This window comes from Homo sapiens, chromosome 7 (assembly GCF_000001405.40).
Source record: "Homo sapiens chromosome 7, GRCh38.p14 Primary Assembly".
Lineage (NCBI taxonomy): Eukaryota > Metazoa > Chordata > Mammalia > Primates > Hominidae > Homo > Homo sapiens.
The window spans coordinates 96,448,918-96,475,930 of record NC_000007.14 but is presented as its reverse complement, the minus strand read 5'-3'; the positions used below and the strand labels follow the sequence as shown (position 1 = coordinate 96,475,930).

The 27,013-nt window shown below is 39.7% G+C and overlaps 1 long non-coding RNA gene across 1 annotated transcript in view; it reads right to left on the bottom strand.

The window, feature by feature from the left end:
* The window catches only part of LOC105375411 (uncharacterized), a 59,097-nt gene extending 33,288 nt beyond the window's left edge, over nucleotides 1-25,809 (bottom strand). The window contains exon 1 of the long non-coding RNA XR_927780.2: nucleotides 25,602-25,809. This is a non-coding gene — a long non-coding RNA (uncharacterized LOC105375411). The remainder of the gene's footprint in view (nucleotides 1-25,601) is intronic.
* Between the last annotated feature and the right edge of the window lie 1,204 nt (nucleotides 25,810-27,013).

Sequence of the window (27,013 nt, the reverse complement as noted above, 5' to 3'; positions counted from 1 at the left end):
TATATTTTTAATGGTCTCTTTAATTATTTAAGTGTATCTCATACAGTTATTTTTTATATTTATCCAACAATTTTAATAGCTTTGGTCTTTATTGTTTCTGCTAACTTTCTAATGGTGGTTTCTTTCCTCATATATGTTTTAATCTTGCATGTGTTTCCTGGAATGATAATTCTTTTAGACCTAAGTTTGGGTGGGTTTCTTCAAACAGAGTTCACATTGACCTCCACTGTACCCCTGGAGGCACCTCCACATGTAGACCATTTTACAGTAAATTATCAGCTTCGACGGTATAAATAATGTTCCCAATCCACATGAAGGCAGGCTTCTGCTTGTGAAATTATATCTATTTATTATTTCCCCAACATAGGCCAGAGAAAAAGATAAACAAGTTTACTCACTTCCTTTCTCTAGGAGGTGGTCCCCACCATTCACTCAATTTTAAGGGGTCCAGGCTTTCTAAAATTGATAGTGGATCATACTTCCCACCTTAGACATGCGCTTGACTTAGTCACTCATCCCTCACTGGAGCTCTTGAAAACCTAAGCTCTGGCTTCCAGGACAACTACCTACTCTAGTGCTCCTTCCCCTCGCTGGATTTCTGCTTTCCTCCAAGGTTTTCTTTACAGTCTTGCCAGCTCATCTATGCCTTTAACATTACTTTTTAAAAAATATTGTATCCACCATATCTGATCATCACTTTTTAAGCTACCTACAAATACCATTATATCAGCAACAGAAACCAAGAGTTACAGTTTTTACTGTTCCTCGGCTACCTGTTTGCTATCCTATATTAAGTTTTCTTTTTGTCTTATGTCTCCACATCTTTTGAATAAGTGCTTCATGAGGAACATTCAAATAAAAATTTTACTTCTGCTCATACAGACATTTTTCAATGATCTGTTTTTCTCTTCATTTTGATTGCTCAAAGATTCATGGACTTTCAAAATTCTAACCCAATATCCGGAACGTGAATGGTAATCTTATCTTCATAGATTCTCTATTTTAAACAATATTACACAAAATGTTGAATCTACTTTCTACCTCCTTAAACTCCATTCTCCTCCAAGATATTTCTACTTTTAAATCTTCCACATTTTCCTAAAGCAATATCCCATAAAAATCAGCAAGTTTTTGCAACAATTGAAGAAAAAAAATCTGACCAGAATTCCTAGTAAGACTTGGCAGAAATGATCTTCCCCTACAATTCATGTGTCCCAACATTAAAAATCTTCCAGAGGGATTTTCAATGACCACTTGGACTTCTTTCTAGAAAGTTTTCAGAGGTTGTTATCCATAGAAGGGAAACAAGCAGGTTACATATGGAGAAATTGCAAAGTCTTCAATTTGATTTAAGATCATAAAACAGGCCATTGTCATGGATTCCCATAGAGACTGGGACATCCCCCTACAGTTTACCCATATTATAATACTTCTGAAGTATTTCAGAGTCATCTGAATGGTACTTGTCAAATGTGAGACCACCTGACACTGTTCGGGTACTTTTTCTGCAGAAGCTGTATCACTTATTACAAATCAATAAATTAGGGCCCCCAAACAGAGCACCAGAAAAGCCATTTGTACTTTGGGAAGATCATGGCAGACAGGAGGCAGGACTAGAATGCAGTTCCCACTCAGACAGACAGAGCAGCTTGTGGAGGCTCGCCTTATGAACTTTTGTTCCAGAATAACTGCAGGAATAAATCAGGGAAGCCAAGAGAACCCACAGACCCTCTGAAAGAAACAGATTGCTCCTGCAGGACCCGGAAGACCCTCCAAATACTAACAGGTGCTGGTATCCATTGCTGAGAGACCCACAGAGAGTTCACATCACAGGACTCCGTGCAGACGACCCCCAGTACCAGCTCAGAGCCTGGTAGACTTGCTGGGCGGCTAGATCCAGAACAGAGATAACACTACAGCTTGGCTCTCAGGAAGCCACATCCCTAGGACAAGTGCAGGGAGTACTGCATCAAGGAAACACCCTGTGGGACAACAGAATCTGAACAACAGCCTTCAGCCTTAGACCTTCCCGCTGACAGAGCCTACACAAATGAAAAGGAACCAGAAAACCAACTCTCAGTAATATGACAAAACTAGGTTCTTTAACACCCCTCAAAAACCACACTAGCTCACCAACAATGGATCCAAACCAAGAAGAAATCCCCGATTTACCTGAAAAAGAATTCAAAAGGTTAGTTATTAAGCTAATCAAGGAGATAACAGAGAAAGGTGAAGCCCAATTTAAGGAAGTCAAAAAAAGATACCAGAAATGAGGGGAGAAATTTTCAATAAAATAGACAGCATAAATGAAAAACAATCAAAACTTCAGGAAACAATGGATGCACTTATAGAAATGTAAAATGCTCTGGAAATTCTCAGCAATAGAATAGAACAAGCAAAAGAAGGAACATCAGAGCTCAAAGACAAGGTTTTTGCATTAACCCAATCCAACAAAGGCAAACTAAAAAGAGTAAGAAAATATGAACAAAGCCTTCAAGAAGTCTGGGATTATGTCAAATGACCAAACCTAAGAACAATTGGCATTCTTGAGGAAGAAGAGAAATCTGAAAGTTTAGAAAATACATTTAGGAGAATAATTGAGGAAAACTTCCCCAGCCTTGCTAGAGACGTAGACATCCAAATAAAAGAAGCTCAGCAAACACCTGGGAAATTCATTGCAAAAAGATCATCACCTAGGCACACTGTCATCAGGTTGTCTAAAGTCAAGACGAGGGAAAGGATCTTAAGAGCTGTGAGGCAAAAGCACCAGGTAACCTAAGAAGGAAAGCCTATCAGATTAACAGCAGATTTCTCAGCAGAAACCCTACAAGCTAGAAGGGAATGAAGCCCTATATTCAGCCTTTTTAAACAAAACAATTATCAGCCAAGAATTTTGTATCCAATGAAACTAAGCTTCACAAATGAAGGAAAGATACAGTCTTTTTCAGACAAACAGCTGAGAGAATTTGCCACTACCAACCTAGCACTACAAGAACTGCCAAAAGGAGCTCTAAATCTCGAAACAAATACTGGAAACACATCAAAACAGAACCTCTTTACAGCATAAATCTCATGGGACCTATAAAACAAAAATACAAAACAAACAAGCAAATAACAACAACAACAAAAAGATATACGGGCAACAAATGGCACAATTAATGGAATTGTACCTCACATCTCAATACTAATGTTGAATGTAAACAGCCTGAATGCTCCACTTAAAAGATGCAGAATTGCAGAATGGATAAGAATTCACCAACCAACTATCTGCTGCCTTCAAAAGACTCACCTAACACAAAAGAACTCACATAAACTTAAGGTAAAGGGGTGGAATAAGACCTTCCATGCAAATGGACACCAAAAGCTGGTAGGAGTAGCTATTCTTTTATTAGACAAAACAAACATTAAAGCAACAGCAGTTAAAAAAGACAAAGAGCGAGATTATATATTGATAAAAGGCCTTGTCCAAAAGGAAAATATCACAATCCTAAATATATATGCACCTAACACTAGAGTTCCCAAATTTATAAAACAATTACTAATAGATCTAAGAAATGAGATAGAGAGCAACACAATAATAGTAGGGTACTTCAATACTCCACTGACAACACTAGATAGGTCATCAAGACAGAAAGTCAAAAAAGAAACAATAGATTTAAACTATACCCTGGAACAAATGGACTTAACGGATATTTACAGAACATTCTACCCAACAACTGCAGAATATACATTCTATTCATCAATACATAGGACTTTCTCCAAGATAGACCATATGATAGGCCACAAAATGAGCCTCAATAAGTTTAAGGAACTTGAAATTATATCAAGCACTCTCTCAGATCACAGTGGAATAAAACTGGAAATTGACCCCAAAAGGAACCCTCAAAACCACGCAAATACACGGAAATGAAATAACCTGCTCCTGAATGATCATTGGGTCAAAAATGGAAATTAAAAAATTCTTTGAACTGAACAACAGTAGTGACACAATATATCAAGAGCTCTGGGATGCAGCAAAGGCAGTGCTAAAAGTAAAGTTTATAGCCCTAAACGCTTGCATCAAAAAGTCTGAAAGAGCACAAACTGACAATCTAAGGTCATACCTTAAGGAACTAGAGAAACAAAAATAAAACAAACCAAAACCCAGCAGAAGACAGGAAATAACCAAGATCAGAGCAGAACTAAATGAAACTGAAACAAAAATAAATAAATAAATTAAATAAATGAAACAAAAAGCTGGTTCTTTAAAAATATAAAACTGATAGACCATTAGCAAGATTAACCAAGAAAAGAAAAGAGAGAATCCAAATAAGCTCAATTAGAAATGAAATGGGATATATTACAACTGACATCACAAAAATACAAAAGATCACTCAAGGCTACTGTGACCACCTTTATGCACATAAACTAGAAAACCTAGAGGAGGTGGATAAATTCCTAGGAAGATACAATCCTCCTAACTTAAATCAGGAAGCATTAGATACCCTGAACAGACAAATAACAAGCAGCAAGATTGAAATGGTAATTTAAAAACTACAAAGAAAAAAAAAAGTCCAAGACCAGAAGGAATCACAGCAGAATTCTACCAGACATTCAAAGAAGAACTGGTACCAATCCTATTGACACTATTACACAAGATAGAGAAAGAAGGAATCCTCCCTAAATCATTTTATGAAGCCAGTATCACCCTAATACCAAAACCAGGAAAGGACATAACCAAAAAAGAAAACTACAGGCCAAAATCCCTGATGAACATAGATGCAAAAATCCTTAACAAAATACTAGCTAACTGAATCCAACAATATATCAAAAAGATAATCCACCATGATCAAGTGGGTTTCATACCAATGATGCAGGGATGGTTCAACCTATGCAAGTCAATAAATGCGATACACCGCATAAACAGAATTAAAAACAAAAATCACATGATCATCTCAATAGATGCAGAAAAAGCATTTGATAAAATCCAGCATCACTTTATGACTAAAACTCTCAGCAAAATTGGCATACAAGGGACATACCTCAATGTAATAAAAGCCATCTATGACAAACCCACAGCCAACATAATATTGAATGGGGAAAAGTTGAAAGCATTCCCTCTGAGAAGTGGAACAAGACAAGGATGCCTACTCTCACCACACCTCTTCAGCATACTATTGGATGTCCTAGCCAGAGCAATCAGACAAGAGAAAGAAATAAAAGACAAGTCAAACTGTTGCTGGAAGAGAAAGTCAAACTGTCACTGTTTGCTGATGATATGATTGTTTAACTAGAAAACCCTGAAGACTCCTCCAGAAAGCTCCTAGAACTGACGAAAGAATTCAGCAAAGTTTCCAGATACAAAATTAAGGTACACAAATCAGGAACTCTTCTATATGCCAACAGTGACCAATCTGAGAATCAAATAAAAAACTCAACTACTTTTACGATAGCTGCAAAAAATAATAATAAAACACTTAGGATTATACCAAACCAAGGAGGTGAAAGACAAGGAAAACTACAAATCACTGCTGAAGGAAATCATAGATGACACAAACAAATGGAAACACATCCCATGCTCACGGATGGGTAGAATCAATGTTGTGAAAATGACCGTACTGCCAAAAGCAATCTACACATTCAACTCAATTCCCATCAAAATACCACTATCATTTTTCACAGAACTAGAAAAAAAATCCTAAAATTCATATGGAACCAAAAAAGAGCCCGCGTAGCCAAAGCAAGGCTAAGCAAAAAGAACAAATCTGAACGCATCACATTACCTGATTTCAAACGACTATAAGACCATAGTCAACAAAACAGCATGGTACTGGTATAAAAATAGGCACATAGACCTATGGAACAGAATAAGAGAACCCAGAAATAAACCCAAATACTTATGGCCAACTGATCTTCAAAAAAGCAAACAAAACATAAAGCCGGGAAAGGACACCCTATTCAACAAATGGTGCTGGGATAATTGACTAGCCACACGTAGGAGAATGAAACTGGATCCTCATCTCTCACCTTATACAAAAATCAACTCAAGGTGGATCAAGGATTTAAATCTAAGACCTGAAACTATAAAAATTCTAGACAATAACATCGGAAAAACCCTTCTAGACATTGGCTTAGGCAAGGATTTCATGACCAAGAATGCAAAAGCAAATGCAATGAAAACAAAGATAAATAGCTGGGACTTAATTAAACTAAAGAGCTTTTGCATGGCAAAAGGAATAGTTAGCAAACTAAACAGACTACCCACAGAGTGGGAGAAAATCTTCACAATCTATACATCTGAAAAAGGACTAATATCCAGAATCTACAACGAACTCAAACAAATTAGCAAGAAAAAAACAAACGATCCCATCAAAAATTGGGCTAAGGCGATGAATAGACAATTCTCAAAGGAAGATATATAAATCCAGCAAACGTATGAAAAAATGCTCAACATCACTAATGATCAGGGAAATGCAAATCAAAACCACAATGTGATACCACCTTAGTCCTGCAAGAATGGTCATAATTAAATAATAATAATAATAATAGATGTTGGTGTGGATGAGGTGAACAGGCAACACTTCTACACTGCTGGTGGGAATGTAAACTAGTAAAACCACTATGGAAAACAGTGTGGAGATTCCTTAAAGAACTAAAAGTAGAACTACCATTTGATCCAGTAATCCCACTACTGGGTATCTACCCAAAGGAAAAGAAGTCATTATATGAAAAAGATACTTGCACATGCATGTTTATAACAGCATAATTCTCAATTGCAAAAACGTGGAACCAACCCAAATGTCCAATGAGTGGATAAATAAACTGTGGTGTATATATATCTATAAAGTAAAAAGGGAGAGGAGGCTTCACTGAGTCCCAAAGGTCAAATGGGTCCAAATGGGGATATGGAGGGTAACGTGGGTGGAGGGCATGAAAGAACACAGGATATTCAGAAAATGCAAATTGTTCCATATGGCTTTGGCCAAAAAGACAGTGGAAAGCAATCAAGTCAAGAGCAGCTCTTGCTGGGCCTGGTGGCATGCACCTGTAATCCTAGCTACAGAGGAGGCTGAGGCAGGAGAATCTCTTAAGGCCAGGAGGTTGAGGCCAGCCATGGCAACACAGCAACACCCCATCTCTAAAATAATATTTAAAAATTAGCCAGGCAGGGTGGCAACCACCTGTAGTTCTAACTACTTGGGAGGCTGAAGCTGAAGGATTGGTTGAGGTCAGGAGTTCGAGGTTACAGTGAGCTATGATTGCATGACTGCACAACAGCATAGGTAACAGAGTAAGACTCTGTACTAAAAACAAATTTGTTTAAAAGAGAAGCTCTTGCAGGCAGCAGTAGAGACAGAAAAGCTTCTGGGGAGAATGGTTTGGAGAGTGAAGTAGAAAGAAAGGATCTTAGAAAGGTAGACGAATACCTCAGCAAATGACTGTTGCAAAAAGAGCAAAAATGCAAAATACCTTGTGCCAAAGGCTTATTATTTAGACCAATACTTCCAAATGTTACTGTGCATACAATTTCACCTGGAGTCTTATTGAAATGAAGATTCTGATTCAATAGGCATGGGATGGGCCTGAGATTCTGCATTTCTAACAAGCTCTCAAGTGATGCTGATGCTGCTGATCCATAGGCCAGACTTCGAATAGCAAGGGTTTAGAATGTATCATGGTTTGTCCCAAGTCATTTATGTGATTGCAAAGGTAAGCTCTCATCCCATCTTTGAAAATCCACCCCCTATTACTAATATTTTCAAAGAATCTGCTTTTAAAGCTTCATATAGGATGTTCCTTAACCCTTTATTGCACTTAAACCCTAGAATTAGATGAAAAGAAAATCAAATTTCATTCTTTCCTCTTCTTTCAGGATGAATATCTTCTGGGATCTCATTTTCTCTTTTACCAAATATAGCGTGTCTTCCAAAAGAATATTTTATAATTTGGTTCTCACATTTCGTGAACATTTTATGGATACGCTATACAGTTCCTCTAATAAAGAAGTCGTATAACTCAGTAGATCATGAATTACTTGGAATCTGTAGCTAGATTTTGGAGAATTTTGTACTTCCCATAGTACCAAATATAGAGCTTTGTAACAGTGAATGCTCATATCTGTCTATTGAATAATACATATATAGTCTGTTGTTTCAAAAGAATTTCATGACTACATAGAAACTGAGTGTACACATAATGTTTTTTCCTCATGTGCATGTAAATTTTGCATTTCAAAATACTGGGCTTCTTTCACTTCCAATGGGAGTTTTGCACACAGTCTATAAATCTTGCTGTTAAGACATTTTCCTTCATTATCCTAAATTTATCTTAATTTCAATCCAATTAAAAACTGTTTACTAGAGTTTTCCCCTCATATAATTGAGCACAGTATAGTTGATTTTTTAACTGTAAACATACATCTGTGAATAATTCCTAAATGCCACAGTATATAGGAGATTCTGCAGCATAATGGAAGTAATTTATTTCCAAATTGCTCCCATTTCTCTTATGACTTGCTTGCAAAGCTTTATTAAAATCAAGTCCAGCAGGTATGACAAGAGGCTGACCTCGTTTCCTAAGCATTATGCCTGCTGCCTGTGCAAAAGACTCCTAAGGCTTTTGCATAGCTCATAAATGCATGTCTATCTCTGAAGCTATGTCTCTAGTTACTGATCACAGTGAAAAATACCAGCAATAAAGAGAAATGTTTAAAAGCCTGGAATCCAGAGTAAGACTGTAGAGGTTCAGATTCTCTTTCTACCATTCATCTGTAAAGTTGAATAATAACAGGAGATACTTCACAGGATCATTGTGAGGATCAAATGAGCTGATGCGCATTAAGAACGTGATTAGTAGTTATTAATATAATTAGTATTAAGGTAATTTTTAATTCTTACCCACTTCTATAGCAGCCAATTTCCAGGCAATAGATAGAATTGCCACAGACAGTAAAAACTAAACACCATCTGCAAAAAGAGTATAGCAACCATAACATGGTCTGTCTGGTCATCTTCGTGGTCCAATGTGATTGGTCAGCCAATCAAATTCATCTTTCAGAAAAGAATCTTTTAATATTTCCTAAACCAGCTTATTGTTTTACTCTGTGTCTCAATAGACCTAGGTTTTCTATCGGACAATTTGAACAATGTGTCCATTGGATCTGATTCATCAAATTGGTATTGAACATCCACTGTGTGCAAGGTACTCAGCAATACCAACTTGATACCAAGATGTGTGGAAGATACAACAATGAATATTTATTCAATAGCTATTAAATGCCTTTCTATATGCCAGGCACTGAGCTAGGTGATGATGATATACAAGAGAGAAGGTACATATAGTTTCTGTCCTTGGGGACCTTCTAGTCTAGAGGGAAAAAATAAACCACAATTATAATGAAGTCTCAGTGCCGTGCCAGGGAAGGACAAAATGCAATGGGAAAGAAGAGCAAGATAAGCAGGAGGCCTAGGAAGGTGACCAGGTGGAAGTGACCATAAGTTGAGAACAAAGCATGAGTAGGAATTAGCCAGGTAAAGAGCTAGGAAGAGCACTAGGGAACAGCACAGGGAAATGCCCAGGCAAGCGAAGGCCCCACAGGCTTCCCTGAGAAAGCAGTAGGAGTTAAGTAGGACTGCAGTGTAAGGTGTAGTGCAAGAGGGGAAATGAGGGAGAGATGCTGATAGCACCTGGTAAGCCATGGTAAGGAGCTGAGAATTTATCTCAAGGGTAGTGGAAATACACTAAAGGTTTTGGCAGGGGAATGAGATGATCAGATATACAGGCATCGTAGAAAAATCACTCTGACTGCAGAGTAAGGAATAATAGGTAAAGGGAGGGCTGGGAGCAAGATTTGAGTGAGGAAAGCCAAATCAATTGCTGTGAGGGGAAAAGCAAGAGCCAGAGATGGCCTGGACTCAGAGAGGGTCATGGAAATATAAAGAAGTGAAGGGGCTGGGCGCAGTGGTTCACGCCTGTAATTCCAGCACTTTGGGAGGCCAAGGTGGGCAGATCACCTGAAATCAGGAGTTTGAGACCAGCCTGGCCAACACAGTGAAACCCCTTCTCTACCAAAAATACAAAAATCAGCCAGGCATGGTGGTGGATGCCTGTAATCCCAGCTACTCAGGAGGCTGAGGCAGGAGAATTGTTTGAACCCAGGAGGTGGAGGTTGCAGTGAGCCAAGATCTCGTCATTGCACTCCAGGCTGGGTGACAAGAGTAAGACTCTGTCTCAAAAAAAAAAAAAAAAAAAAAAAGAAGGATTTCAAGAGATATTGAGAAGAGAGAATCAAGAACAGTCCGTAACTGATGAGATGTAGCGGGTGTGGAAGAAGAAAGAATCAAAGATGACTTTGAGATGAGAAAGAGGACATGAAGTACAGAACAGTACAGAGCCTCCTGGTCTTTGTTGTATGGAATAGGAGTTAGGACAGAATATGATCACTGACATAATAGAAATGCAAAAATGCAGGAGTGGCATGAGCAAATAAATCCTTAGGGATGAGGGGTTCAGAAACATCTTGAGAGGCATTGGAGTTGGTTAAGATTAGTGGGGACTGGTAGTTTAGAGATGCTGAAAGGATATTTCCATTCTCCAGTGATGCCAGTCCTATAGCTTGGATCCTTTTCAGTGGCCAGTGTCCTCAGGGCAGAAGAGGCTTTCAGGGAAAGGTACTTCCATCTGTTCATCAGGACCTGGAATTCCTGCCTGAAAACATCTGCGGCACCACGTAACATTTCTTGAGCTGTAGATATTTGAGGTCATGTCCAGGTCTTTGACGGTTGGGGAATTACTGTTCTGAAAGAGTACTTAGTGAAGGGCTTGCCAAAGGTATCAGTACAAATCACTTTCCCTACCCCCCTAAAGTTTCTTTCTTTTTAAAAGACACAAAAGCCAAATTTTGATATAATTTTTAAAGATTTTTCCATACCAGATTTTGAAGTGGATTTTGATGCAATATCAGACCTCAAAGAAACAGATACTGCTCTCAGCCTAGATTCTGAACACTGACCCTTTCTCCTTCAGCCCTACTAACCTTAGCCCCACAATCAGAGCTTTCAGCAGTGCTCTGAAGGCCCAGAGAGGAGTTATCCTGACTTAAATTGCCATCCCAGCACATGTGGGATATGTCTTTAACCACAAAATATGTTTTATTTAAGGCCTTTCCTCAATTGTGAAAACTTAAATTTAATAAGGATTGAAAAAGCCTATAAATCAAACACAATAAAATATTAAATTATGCACCTTACTCTAAGTGGGGTACATATATTTTATCATCGAAAGTGTGGGTCTGGACATTCTGTAAATTCTGGTTTCTCGGGCAGACTGGGAGTTGGAAAACAAAGATGCATTAGTTTTCAATTTACAGAACATGATGTTAGTGATTACATTAACTTAATCTAATATTATTTCCCATATTTAAAGACAGAATGAGAACCTTGTGTTTAGATTGTTGTTGGCTTGAAAAAATATAAATGTGAATTTATGTGTGTGAGTGTGTGTGTATGTGTGTGCATACATAAAGAAATAAGGACCCGGCTGGCTTTCCATATAATAGGCCACGTTATTAGTACAGCTGCACATTCTGTGTCTCAGGGGATTAGAAACTCAGCCTAAAATCTCATTTAATTACAGAGCATTGACTACCATGGACCTCTTGCATCTGGACCCAGGAATAATAGAGAACATTTTCTCTGAATGGTTTGTAGTGTTCAGGATAGAAACACAGGTAGTTCAATTTTTAACATTTGGTTAAAACGCAAAAAGCAAAAGTTCACAGATGGTTAGCTCAGCCTATTAAATAATTTTACCAAAGTTCCTTGATTCTCTTTTTCTTTGGAGGCTTAAAAAGTGCAATTTCTTTCCCTTTTGGATGCGGAGGTGAAAGGGCACAAAATGACTTAGTTCATCTGTAAATGACCGTAACAATAGTCCCTACCTCAGAAGTTACCATGGAGAGGAAGCCAGATAACATGAGTGAAAGGACATCCCAAAATATCAAATGCTATTCAATGTTAGTTAAATAGTATTATTATCATTACTCATTTACTCCTTTATTTATTTTTAAAAATAACCTTTTGAGCACCTACTAAGAACGAAGCACAGTTCTATATGAAGAAAATGTAGTGGTGAATATGGCAGACATGACTTCTGCTCTAATGCAATTTCCATTCTACTGAGGCAGACAGATGAACAAATTAGATATTCCACAGAGAAAAGTACTGTGAAAAATATGAAACAGGATAATATGATAGACAGCGGCTGTGGCATTTCTTTGGAACAATCCCTCTGAAAAAGTAACATTTGAGCTGGAGACTAAATGAATTAAATGATAAAAGCAAGCCAGCCATTGGAAGAACATTCCAGAGAGAAAGTAAAGCAAATGCAGCGGCCCTAAGCTGGGCTGGATTGAGGACAAGAGAGGACCTCAGTGGCTCAGGGGCAGTGAGTGGGGAGAGACAAACAAGCTGAGGCTTGAGGGAAGGCCTGTGGCCCAATAGGCAGGGCCAGCCTTGCAGGCCACAGCAGAAGCTGGACTAAATCCCAAGAGCTGTAAGAAGCCACTGGAGGATTTTAAGCAAGGAAGAGATAGATTCTGAGTTGTGTTTAAAATGAAAGTTACTCTGGCTCCTGTATGGAAAATGGATGAGTTGGGTGGTGGAGAGAAGAGTACCCAGAGTTGTAATAAAGACATGAATTAAGAGGCTATTACAATAGCTGAGGAGAGAGGAATGATGGCGGCAGTAGGGCGGTTGCAAGAAGACAGAAAAACAGGCAATCAAAGTAGAGGGGTCAGGCTGGAAGCTTCATAGATGACCTAGAGTTCCAGGCAGAAGTTCAGGGTAGACTTGTAAAAGTCATCAGCAAAGTATTGTAGTGACTGAATTGTCCAACCCATGGCTCACAGGTTGCATGCAGCCCAGGATGGCTTTGAATGCGCCCAACACAAATTCATAGACTTTCTTAAAACATTATGAGTTTTTTTTTGTTTGTTTTTTGTTTTTGAGCTAGAGACTCACTCTGTCACGTAGGCTGGAGTGCAGTGGCGCAATTTCGGCTCACTGCAAACTTTGCCTCCCAGGTTCAAGCAATTCTCCTGCCTCAGCCTCCCAAGTAGCTGGGATTACAGGCATCCACCACCATGCCTGGCTAATTTTTGTATTTGTAGTAGATACAAGGTTTCACCATGTTGGCCAGGCTGGTCTTGAACTCCTGACCTCAGGTGATCCACTCGCCTTGGCCTCCCAAAGTGCTAGGATTATAGGTGTGAGCCACTGCACCTGGCCAAAACATTATGAGATCTTTTTGCAATTTTCTTTTAGCTCATCAGCTATGGTTAGTGTTAGTATATATTACATGTGGCCGAAGACAATTCTCCTTCTTCTTCTTCTTCCGGTGTGGCCCAGGGAAGCCAAAAGATTGGACACCCCTGATTTAGAGGAAAACAGAGGAGGAAAATCCAGCAAAGGAGCAACCAACAAGAGGCAGGGAGAAATCTAGGAAAGTATGCTCTAAGAGCCAAGAGAAGAAAGTGCTAAGGAGGGGCAGTTAAGAAGGAAGGAAGTGGTCAATGAGACAAGCGTAGTTGGAATAAGGAGGAAGATGAGTACCCAGAAGAGGTCATTGGATTTGGTAATGTGGAAATCATGGATGACCTTTAAAAGGAAACTAAACTCTAATTAAGGTGGGCTGGGAAAACACCTGAGGAATGTAGAAAACAATTTTAGACAACTCTTCTGCAAAGTTTTACTATGAAGGATCAAAGAAATGAAACATAGGTCAAAAATATTCTTGTTAGAGGCATATGAAAAAATGCTCAACATCACTAATCATCTAAGAAATGCAAATTAAAACTACAATGAGCTATCATCTCATCACATTTAAAATGGCTTTCATCCAAAAGACAGGCAATAATGAATTCTGGCAAGGATGTGGAGAAAAGAAAACCCCTGTGCACTATTGGTGGGACTTTTCCCACTTACTCATCAAAGATTGATGAGTACATCAACTTTGGAGAAAAGTATGAAGGTTCCTCAAAAAACTAAACATAGAACTACCATATGGCCAGAAATCCCACTGCAGGGTATATACCCGAAAGAAAGAAAATCAGTATATCGAAGAGATATCTGCACCCTCATGTTTATTGCAGCGCTATTCACAATAGCCAAGATATGGAATCAACCCATGCCATCAACAAACAAGCAGATAAAGAAAATGTGGTACAAACATATACACAATGGAATATTATTTAGCCAGAAAAGGAATAAAATCTTGTCATTCGCAACAACATGGATGGAACTGGAGGTCATTATGTTAAGTGAAATAAGCTAGACACAGAAAGATAAATATCACATGTTCTCACTAATATGTGGGAGCTAAAAAAAAATGAACTCATGCAGATAGAGAATAGAATGATGATTAGCAGAGGCTAGAAAGGGGAGCGGGGAAGGAGGGAATAAAGATGAGGTGGTTAATGGGTACAGAAATACATTTAGAGGAATAAGATCTAGTGTTCAGCAGCACAACAGAATGACTATAGTTAATAATTAATCATATATTTCAAAATAACTAAAAGAGTGGAATTAGAATGTTCCTAACACAAAGAAATGATAAATGCTTGAGGTGATAGATATCCCAATTACTCTAGTTTTGGGCTCAAGGAGTTCAAGGCTGCTGTGAACTCTTATTGTGCCACTGCACTCCAGCGAGAGTGACAGAGCAGAAGACCCTGTCACAAACAACAACAACAACAAAACTAGTCAATAACTTTGTTTTTTATTGCTTTGGTGTTTTCTACCTATACTATGCACAAAATAAAAATGGTTGGCTGACTTTCCCTTGAGAAACATTTCAACCGGAAGCATTAGGTAAAGTCACTAAATACTGGGTCATCTTGAAATTTACACATGTCACTAAAATAATACTGTGTGGATAAAGACAAATCAACAGTTTAAGTGAAAAGCAGAAACAACCCCCATGACAATCCTAAACAGAGATTTTTTTTAAGCATTCAATTTTATAAAAGAAAAACAGAGTAGCAGGTTTTTTTAGCTGCCAAGTCAGTTTCATCAGATACTCCTTCACCATACATTTAATTTCATCTAAAAAATTTTGTCACCTAAGTGAGTAAGATAATTTTCTTAATCAAAATATAAAAATGCCAAAGAGGTAGCTTGAATAATGATAGAATACAGTCCTTCATTTATAGTTTTAGTCATATTTTATAAAGTGCCTATAGGAAGTACTCTAGGGAAAGGAAACTAACCTTTTGCTTACTTACCATGTGCTAACCACTATACTTGATGCTATATTTACATTAACTTGCTTAGTACTCACTACTACCCTACAAGATATAACCTGTCTACAATTTAGAAATGAAAAGACTGGCTCAAAGTTTAATAAAACCAATTCAGGTTTACATAGTGATATTGGTGGAGTAGCAGATTTGACCTCAGGTCAGTCTGTCTAAAGGTGCTTCTCACTTCTTTACATTACTTATTTTACATACACGAGAGCAAGATAAGCAGACCATTTCCACCCCACACAAGGCTGAGTATCATAAGATACACTCCTGTACATGTCGAATCCTTTTGTAGAATTTTACACATTTGTTTAACGATAAATTCCTCCTTAGAATCTACAGTCTGTAGGCTCCATGAGGTCAGATCCTCTCACTTACTACTTTATAAAACCTCTGTACTTTGCACATAGTACTTGCTCAAATATCTATTAACTGATACCCTTTAAGGAGATTCATAACTTAAAGAAAATACCAGATGAATATACAGTGATTCAACATCCACAAAGCAAGCTACTATCTGTCAGGAGACTCATGTCTTGAAAGGTAGCCTGTCTCTGATACAACTCTAAGGCAGATTTTGCCAGGTACATGAAGGTCAGCAAATTCTGTGCCTTTCATTCCTGCCAAACCTGGTCACGACCTCAAAATGTAAGCTTCTCCTGACAGCTGTCCTCTTCAGTCAGTTTAGCTCCTCTGCGCTTCCCCTCTTCTGACCCAGCCCCAATTCCTCCTCTCCTTCAAAAGCATCTGACCCAGCCCCAATTCCCCCTCTCCTTCAAAAGCATCATGTCCCATAACCGTTTGAAACTTGTTTCAGAGTAAACAGACTTCCCTCTACTCTTAGCTGCTACATAGAACACATGCTACACTCCTCACCTTACTGAAATTTGATGCATCTCCCAAGGCTACTGCTGTGGTGGCCCTCTCAAGGGCCATATTCCCATGTTCCATATTTGGTAGTTCTAAGAGGTGGCTCCTGTGTTCTTTTCACTCCCCAGTGCAGCTTTCAAACCAATATTTCCAAGTCCTGGAGTCTAAAAAAAGTTTGTTGTTTGAGAATAATGGCAACTCCTCCCCTTCAACCGTCAACCACCAACCACCTAGTCATGGTTTTAGTCAAAAATTTTGGCCCCTGAATCATAATACTTATCTCTACCTAAGTCCTGTCCAGGTAACTATCCCAATCAATATCCATATGTGACATGTGCTTACCTTATAAACCCCACTCCACTTCCTCACCTACTCTCATACCTCAGACATTGGCATCATTCTCTAAAGTAATGAATTTCAGTGTGTCACTGTCTAATAACAGGATCTTTCCAGCTTTAACTCCCTCATTCCCACTATGCCTATCCTGGAACTTCAATTCTCTCCTTTCTCTCCATCCTTTTGTGTTCAGCCTAGACCTCATGATCCATCGTGTCATCCCTCTTTAACACTCTTCCCCACAACCTTGTCCCACATCCTTCTGTCACTCTATCCTTGTAAAATCCTATCTTTAACTTCCATGGTCTACTGGCTCATAATAGAGAATACACATTCACAGTGCATGTTGGTGTCCCTTCACATTCTAGATGTTTAATTTTTGCTTGGTTTTCAGCATAACCTATAAATCCTTTATATATTCCTAGCCAGTTTTCTCTCCTTAAATAATAATTTCAAAACCTCATCAATCTTCTCAGGCAGCATGTTCAAAACCCATCTCTCTGTCAAGGCATGACCTCACTTTCTACTTCAGAAACAGTGAAGACATAAGCCTATGAGACTTCCTTCAGTCCCCCACTCTCAGATCTATAACATTAGCTAAATCCACCCTTGTCCTTTTCACTTTTTCTGTCTCAGTGGAAGACTTGATCCTCCTGAAGCTAATCCTTAGACTTATGCTGTGGTGTCCATTTCCCAGATCCGCAGAGATACAACTCCATCAATTATTCCTTTTTGTCTTACCTCTTCAATCTCTCCCTCTCTGCTATTTTGTTCCAATTAGCATATACACATGCTTAAGTCTCTCAGTTGATCTTACATTCCCTCTCTCTAGCCATGTGCCCCCCTCTGCTTCACAGTCAACTCTCAGAAAAAATGCTTATAGCCATTCTGTCAATTTTACTTCCAACTAAGTTTTCTATTAATAACAAATACACTGCAACCACTCTTGCCAGTAACCAGTGATCTCCTTGCTGCCATTCGGTGGGTGGGGTTCTGTACTTATCTTACTCAATCTCTTATAGATGTCTTTCTTCTTGAGACACTTTCTTCCATTGATTTTCTATAACATTACACTCTCCAGGTTTTCTTACTATATCTGCCTTCTATCTTCCTCCAACTACCCTGTAGGTGTTGTTCTACTATAAGAACCCATCGTTGGCTGTCTTCTCAATCTACATATTCTTGCTTAGTAATTTACCAATTCCTATAATATCTACCATCATCTATATCTGTTGTCCTTAAACTTTTTTGGGTCATGAACCCCTTTGAGAATCTGATGAAAATTCTGGACCTTGTCCCTGAAAAAGGAAAGGAATATACAACCATACTTTTTCTGGATAATTTTAGAATGTTCTTGGACACTCTGAAGCTTATCAATGAACCTTTCAATAAGTATTTCTGATCCGCTGTGCCAACAACTCCCAAAATTTATCTGCATTCATCCTTCTCGAGCAAGCCCTGAAAATTAGGCTGCCTGCTTAATATCTTTAATTGGAAATCTGTATTAGTCAGGGTTCTCTAGAGGAACAGAACTAGTAGGATATATATATATATATATATATATACACACACACACACACACACACACACACACATAAATATATATATTTGTGTGTGTGTATACATATATATATTTGGGAGTTTATTAAGTATTAACTTACAAGATCACAAAGTCTCACAATAGGCTGTCTGCAAGCTTAGAAGTAAGGAGAGCCAGTCTGAGTCCCAAAACTGAAGAACTTGGAGTCCAATGTTTGAGGGCATGAAGCATCCAGCATGGAAGAAAGATGTAGGCTGGGAGTCTAGGCCAATCTCACCTTTTCACATTTTTCTACCTGCCTTATATTTGCTGGCAGCTGATTCGATTGTGCCCACCAGACACCAGATTAAGGGTGGATCTGCCTTCCCCAGCCCACTGACTCGAATGTTAATCTCCTCTGGCAACACCCTTACAGACACACCCAGGATCAATATTGTGCATCCTTCAGTCCAATCAAGTTGACACTCAGTATTAACCATCACAAGTCTACCCTTTGTCAACTTGAACCCACACACATCTCCTGAGATCATAGATAATCTTCAAATAAAGACAATAATAAGGTCATAATTACACCTAACATAATACAACTATCCTTCGTACAACCGGAAATGCACCAATCCCCAACCCAAATACTATTATATAAAGTTAACAAGATTTAAATGCTGATATGAAGTTAATAAATCTTATGTCACATGATAAAGGAAAAGGAAATAAAATGAAGATATTTTCTTAGTACACGTGTATACATACACAAACATGTTTTTAACAAAATAAGGAAGAAATACTCATGACAGTTACAGTCCTTATTTCTACAGCTGGTCATGTGGTCATAGCGGGTATTGATGACTACCTTCTTCTACCACCCATTCTGTATTCCCTTTGCCTTCAGCAAGCAGCTAAGCAGGTCATGGTTTTTTTCTTGGTGGAGTGACCAAACCTTCATTTCTGAGGGGTCTGGAACATTTGTAATCCTGGCTGGATTGAGCTGTTGTAGTTTCCCGTTGACCTTAATCACAAGACATGGTAATACTAAGAGACATCCTAATGGATCTTCTGTATTCCACGCATCCTCTTCCTTCCGTTATGGAGTAGTAGACTGATTTCATCTTGATAGTCGAGATCAGTCACCCCAGCCAACACTGTAACTCCTTTTTTAGCCCATTGACTTAAAGGTAGGAGGAGCTTAAATGTCCAGGTGGCAATCTTAATTTCCAGTTTAATGGAATTGTTGTTGTGTCTCCTGGTGGCAGTGTTCCTCCCTCTGGAACTAAAACCTCTAGGCCAGCAGAACATAATGTCATGGGAACATGGGAAACAAAAATTTTGCTAGTGGATCACTAGGGGTGATGGTGAGTGGTACCACTTCCATTTCCACCCCTCGATTCCTGAACCTGTGAATCCCGCCTATGGAAGAAACAGTATCACATAATGGACAGTGGTTCAGAGTATACATGGCCTTCTGGAGAACTTTGCCCGTCCCTGCAAAGTATTGTCATCTAGTTGGCATTGTAATTGTGACTTCAGAAGGCCATTCCACTGTTCTATCAATCCAGCTGCTTCAGGATGATGGGGAAAATGGTAAGACCAGTGAATTTCACGAGCATGGGCCCACTGCTGCACTTCTTTAGCCATAAAGTTAGTGCCTTGGTCAGAGGCAAGGCTGCGTGGAATACCATGACAGTGGATAAGGCATTCTGTGAGTCCACAGGTGGTAGTCTTGGCAGAAGCAGTGTGTGCAGGATAGGCAAACCCATATCCGGAGTAAGCGTCTATCTCACTGAGGACAAACCTCTGCTTTTTTCATGATGGAAGAGGTCCGGTATAATCAACCTGCCACCAGGTAGCTGGCTGATCACCCCAAAGAATGGTGCCGTATCGAGGGCTCAGGGTTGGTCTCTGCTGCTGGCAAATTGGGCATTCAGCAGTGGCTGTAGCCAGATCAGCCTTGATGAGTGGAAGTTCATGTTGCTGAGCCCATGCATAACCTCCATCCCTGCCACCATGGCCACTTTGTTCATGGGCCCACTGGGCAATGATGGGGTGGCTGGGGAAAGAGGTTGAGCGGTGTCCACAGAATGTGTCATCCTATTCACTTGATTACTAAAATCCTCTTCTGCTGAGGTCGCCCACTGATGAGCATTCACATAGGATACAAATATCTTCACAGTTTTTGACCACTCAGAGTGATCCATCCACATACCTCTTCCCCAAATTTCTTTGTCACCAATTTTCCAATCATGCTTCTTCCAAGTCCCTGACCATCCAGCCAAACCATTGGCTACAGCCCATGAATCAGTATATAATTGCACATCTGGTTATTTCTGCTTCCATGCAAAGTGCACAACCAGATGGACTGCTCAAAGTTCTGCTCACTGGGAAGATTTCCCTTCACCGCTGTCCTTCAGGGATGTCCTAGAAAGGGGCTATAGTGCTGCAGCTGTCCACTTTCGGGTGGTGCCTGCATATCGTGCAGAACCATCTGTGAACCAGGCCCTAGCCTTCTCTTCCTCTGTCAGCTAATCATAGGGAACTCCCCATGAGGCCATCAGTGCAGGTTGGGAAAGAGAAGGCAGGGTGGCAGGAGTGGAGACCATGGGCATTTGAGCCACTTCCTCATGTAACTTACTTGTGCCTTCAGGACCTGCTCGAGCCCGATCACATATATACCTCTACAATTTGATGACAGAATGCTGCTGTGTGTGACCCACTTTATGGCTAGATGGGTCAGAAAGCACCCAATTTGTGATAGGCAGTTCAGGTCACATGGTGACTTGATGACCCATAGTCAAACATTCAGTTTCCACCAAAGCCCAGTAACAGGCCAAGAGCTGTCTCTCAAAAGGAGAGTAATTATCTGCAGAAGATGGCAGGGCCTTGCTCCAAAATCCTAAAGGTCTCCTCTGTGATTCACCTATCGGGGCCTGCCAAATGCTCCAAACAGCATCCCTATCTGCCACTGACACCTCGAGGACCATTGGATCTGCTGGGTCATGTGGCCCAAGTGGCAGAGCACCTTGCACAGCAGCCTGGACCTGTTGCAGAGCCTTCTATTGATCTGGACCCCACTCAAAACTGGCAGCCTTTGGGGTCACTCAGTAAATGGGCCAGAGTACCACACCCAAATGAGGGAAGTGTTCCTTCCAAAATCCAAATAGGCCCACTAGGCACTGTGCCACTTTATTGGTTGTAGGAAGGGCCAAATGCAGCAACTTATCCTTCATCTTAGAAGGAACATCTTGACAGACCCCACACCACTGGACCCCTAGAAATTTTACTGAACTAGAAGATCACTGGATTTTAGTTGGTGTTATTTCTCATCCACTTGCACACAAATATATAATTAATAAGTCCAGTGTGTTTGCTACTTCCTTTACTTCATCTTTCCTTATCTTGAGTTTTCTGTTCTGATTAATGCGATTTTGGTTATAGTCTCTTCTCGGGTATTTTCCTCTGATTCGGTGCAATAACATATTCAGTAATTCTTTGTATATTTGCAAACACTTTTGCACTCCTGTAGATGAATCTCAGAAACTCAACGAGCAGAAGAAGCCAGACACACAAATGAGGACATGCTGGATGTTTCTATCTATAGAAGCTCCAGAACAAATAAAACTACTATATGTGATAGAGGTTAGAATAACAGTTACTTTTGGAAGCAGAATGAGAGAGCCTGCTGGGATGCTGGAAATGTCTGTTTCTTGCTCTGTGTGGAGGTTACCTGTGTTTATACATAGGTAAAAATCATCAAGCTGTCTGCTTCGGGTTTTTGCACTTAACTGTATGTGAAATATACTTCTAAAAAGAGAAAGAGTCTTAAAAAGGGAAGAAAAATTAATAAATCAAGAGCCTAACTGGAAGAAAATTGTAAAAGAAGACCAAAAATAAGCCCTTCCTCTATTAAAAAGCATCAGAACAAAAACTGTTAAAGTTCCAGCAAAACTCTCAGGAACAAATATATTTAATGCTACTTAAAATGTTCTAATTTTTAGGCCAGACACAGTGGTTCATGCCTGTAATCCTAGCACTTTGGGAGACAGAGGCTGATGGATCACCTGAGGCCAGGAGTCCAAGACCAGCCTGGCCAGCATAGCAAAACCTCGTTTCTACTAAAAATAAAAAACATAGGCGTAGTGGCCACCATCTGTAATCCCAGCTACTTGGGAGGCTGAAGCATGAGAATCTCTTGAACCCGGGAGGCAGAGGTTGCAGTGAGCCGAGATCAAGATTGTGCTACTGCACTCCAGCCTGGGCAACAGAGCGAGACTCGGTCTCAAAAAAAAAAAAAAAAAAAAAAGAATAAAATGTACTTATTTTTAGAAGTAGATAAATGAAAAGTTTCCCAAATCATTCTACAACATAAAAAGGTGACCTCATATTTTTGGCCTGATTTTGGCCACAATATAGAAGTATCAAGTACCCAAATTCTTTTTTTTTTTTTCCTTTTGAGATGGAGTCTCACTCTGTCGCCCAGGCTGGAGTGCAGTGACATGATCTCGGCTCACTGCAGCCTCTGTCTCCCAGGTTCTAGCAATTCTCCTGCCTTAGCCCCCCAAGTAGCTAGGATTACAGGCGCACAACACCATGCCTGGCTAATTTTTGTATTTTCAGTAGAGATGGGTTTTCACCATGTTGGCCAGGCTGGTCTCGAGCTCCTGACCTCAAGTGATCCGCCTGCTCTGGCTTCTCAAAGTGTTGGGATTACAGACTCAAACAGACACACTTGAACTTGTTAGGAGACACTGAACTAGTCCTCTTTTTTTTTTTTTTTTTTTTTTTTTTTTTTGGCAGAGTCTCACTCTGTTGCCCAGGCTGGACTGCAGTGGTGTGAACTTGGCTCACTGCAACCTCAGCATCCCAAGTTTAAGCGATTCTCCTGCCTCAGCCTCCCAAGTAGCTGGGACTACAGGCACATGCCACCATGCCCGGCTAATTTTTGTATTTTTAGTAGAGACAGGGTTTCACTATGTTGGCCAGGCTGGCCTCGAATTCCTGACCTCAGGTGATCCACCCACCTCTGCCTCCCAAAGTGCAAATTAGCCCTCTTGATCCAGCCTTGCCTCCTTTTACTTTGGACTGCTACAAGGAGGGAAAAACTGAAAAGGCAGCTAAACTTCCCCATCCCCACCCTGAAGACCTGCAACTACAGATTAAGCTTGATCTGGGGGAAGGGAAACAGATTCGAACAATTATGAATGTACATGGTTGACATTTATCAAGTGAGCTCCAGTTATTTGATCACCATGCAAACAAGTCAAGGATTCATGAAAAGATTTTTCAAATTAAAGTATATTCAAAAGCTAGAAATCCATTGGAAAGCATGACACAACCAAGTTCAGGCAGCTCTCTTACAGTGTATAAACACGAATTTTCAGAAAGTTAAAAGTTAAACATTAAAAATTTTATTTTAAAGATCAGTGAGAACAATATCTGTTTATGTCAGTCCAGGTTACTCCTATGATACAAAAAGCATTTGCTATAACATGTTTATATTTCTTCACTAAAGGCCCACCTTTACTCTTTCTTTTTGACCTCTGTACAAATGAAACTTGTGAAGCAATCATTGCATCTGCTGGAGCTGGGAGTCTGTTTGCATTTCCATTCATCCCCTTGTTTCTGGGGGTTCCACATTCAGGCACAGAAAGAAAAAGCTAGTAGAGCAGCAGGCCTTGGTCTGAAATCAGCACTTACAGTATCAGCCCACGTAGAAACAGATCTTTTTGTAAGGTTGAATAGGGCTGATAAAATAATAGATTGTCCTGCTGTGTGGAAGCCATGGGAATGCAGCTAATGGCACTCACACAGGTCCCAGGAACCCACCTAGGAGCTGCAGCAAGAAACTTATGAAAAAGTAAGGTTTAAGCAAGGTGCTGTGGCTAAATTAACATAATATGTAAATGTGTATATGCTTGTGTCAGTAAGGCCTATGTGTATGTTGGGTCTTAACCATTAACACACACATTGGTTTGATATATCCAGCTTCTGTTTCAAGTTCTAGTACTGTCTAGCAATCTTTCTGGAAATATGCCCCACGTTTCAACCATACTTCTGCCAAGAGAACAGGCTCCCAGGGAAATGGCAGTGTGTATTCCATTAAAACCAATCAATTGTATTGTTAAACTATACAAATATTTCCATGCAATTTTCAAAAGAAATATAATTTTCTGAACAATATCACACAAATATCTTGAAACACACCACAGAAATCAAAACGTTCATTTGTAGTCCCCCAGCCCTTAGATTTCTGTCCGTGATTCCCAACTCATTCAGCATCTTAGGAACCAAGCAGGCATATTCTGTAGCTAGAATATATCAGGGCAACTTCAGCCTTTTCCCTACCCCAGGCAAAAGCCATCCTGTGCCTTTGGGCTCTATTCCTTATGTCCTAACAGACAAGAAAAAAAAATGCACAGGAAATGGCTTTGGATTCGGGAGGTGAAGGTGGTGGCAAGAAGAGCTGGTAACTATGCAGTGAGTAACTCATCAGCAAAATTAAAGTGTGTGTGCATGCGTGTGTGTCAGAGACAGAGAGACAAGAGGATACCTGCTTTAATAGGAAAGAATAAGTAGTTCTTGGTAAGGTCTAAATGATAAATATGGCCTCACAGTAAAGCCAAGTCTGCACGTGATATTTCTTTTTGTAAGACTTGTATTACCAAAACTTTTATTTTTATAAAGAATAGTGTCTTAAGTTAAATGGAAAAAGCTATAATGTTAGAATATAAATCTTTGGGCTTACTGAGCTGAAAAGGGAGATTGCCCTTCTGAAGACACTGGGGGAGGGCATTATATAGTGCTGCTCTCTCTATACCCCTGAAAATGGAATTATGATTCTACTTTATTTCAAAGCCTTCCCAGAATAGAGGGCTACGTGTGCTTCTGGTCCCTGTGTAAAGAATTAGAAAACTAAAAAAAAAAAAAAAAATAGAATTAGAAAATTAGTAAACAATTCAACCCCTTAGAGCATCCATGTTAGGACCTGAAAGGATCACACACTGGAGTAGTTGAAGGGGCAGCCAGGGACAACCAGCAGCCCCTAAAGCCCTGCTGGCTGGCCATGTCACACAATCTGCCCACAAGCCAAAGGAACTTGAGTTTGTACAGAGCTGAAGACAATAGGGCAGACTAAGCAGGCTTGGCCTTGCAACAAGAGCTGTGTGTCACACTCAACCTCCCCTTCCTCTGAAAGGCTTGGCAGCCTAGGGGACATGAAGGATACCAGTAGTCACTCTAGACATTTGGAGCTTGGCCGCTCTGCCCTATGTACCTCTAGTCTGTGCATCAAAAATGTGGGGTTGAGGAAGAACCTCAATATTAGAAGGTAATTTTCAGGTAGAAACAGGTGAGCAGAGTCTAACACCCATGTAACTGTATGTTCTATCACTTTTCAGCTTGCTCTCTGAGGTGTAGCTCCATTCTCACAATGCACCATGACCCAACTAAATTCTGCTAGGGATGCCTCTAAGCCACATTGGTAGTACTACTTGTTAGTACTACTTCTGAGCCTCTTGAGCTGCCCACAGTAAGTATTCAATAAATGTGCTTAAGAATACTATTCAGTCTCATGTTGGTTCTTACCTTTTCTTTGTAGCTATATCCTGTATCTCCATTAGGATTGTACACAGGGCCAACATATTACACTTCAACATCTCTTACAGGTCGTTACAAAGCACCATACTCATAGTCTTCTGTAAAGTCTTCTGTAAAGTCTTCTGAATCCTTAATGCTTGCCTGTACTGGCAATAGATGGGTAACATCTGTTGATGTTTCCTTCACTTACATTATTCAATACAGTAGGGCCATTTAAAGTTTCAGCTGCCAACAATGACTATTAGTTTAACACACCAGCCCCTACATGGAATTAGCCTTCCTTAATCCTAGTGGATAGCTCCAAGAAACAGAATATGTGATCAATTTTATAGGACATTTTGATCACTTATATCCTGTTACTGATATTTACAATAAAAACATTACCAAAATATTGTCCAGTAAATGAACACAATTTTTTTTCTTATTCCTTGTATTTAATCCATTTTTAAGGCCACTTTTGCTTATTTTGTTCTCTTTTCTGAAGTATTTCTAAGGTAAAATAAAAGAAATAACTCCTTTCAGGTAGTCTGTTTGGAATGAATTATCCAAAGGGTAACCCAACAATGTGTGAGCTTCCCTAGGCAATATGGCCATCCACCACTTTAAGGAAATAAAACATAAACAGATAAAGCAGTTAGCAGGTAATTACATGCATAAAAGAAAGATTTTCTGCTTTCCAGGGGAGAATGAGTGCAAGCTCCCCTGTTGCATTTGAACATGAATTTTAACTGTTAAATTTTGATTTGTATGAAAGTTTTTGTAAAGAGAGACACATCTATAACAATAATTCCTCCTACACCAGGATTTAGAGTTGGGCCACACAGACTCCTTAACTGGCAGAAGATTTGCATTTCAAGGCCTTTTTGAAAATACCAACCCCACACTGAAAAACCTACATGAACAGCCATTAGAAAAACCAATCCTGCTATGAACATCGTCTGCTAATTATAATGAGGAGGCCTAAGGGAGAATCTTCCAACCCTGGCCACTAATCCAGTCAGATTGCATCTGCATTTGAATGAGTGACAGCAGACCTCTCTACAGCTGTGACCCATTGGGGTCGCCGGCCAATCAAAGACTCAGTACGCAGCTGGGCCTGGTCATTTGTTCTCTCAGATCTTATCAAGCTTGACTCCTTTTCCCATTAGAACTCTCCTTTCTCACTTTCAGTCTCAATTTCCCTCTACTCAAAAACACCCAGAATAGAAAGGAGCTTAAAGGTCTTCTAATCCACTGATTGTCAAAATTGAGTTTTCTTCATAATCAAAGAATTCTTCCTTCAAGTTAAGGCTCACCCAGAAGCCTAAGAGATAAAAGAGTCATTTGGATGTGCTCTGGTCATGGAGGTAATGGGGGCTAGCAGCCCACCTGGGCACTGACCTGCCCTTCCCAGTAAGGAC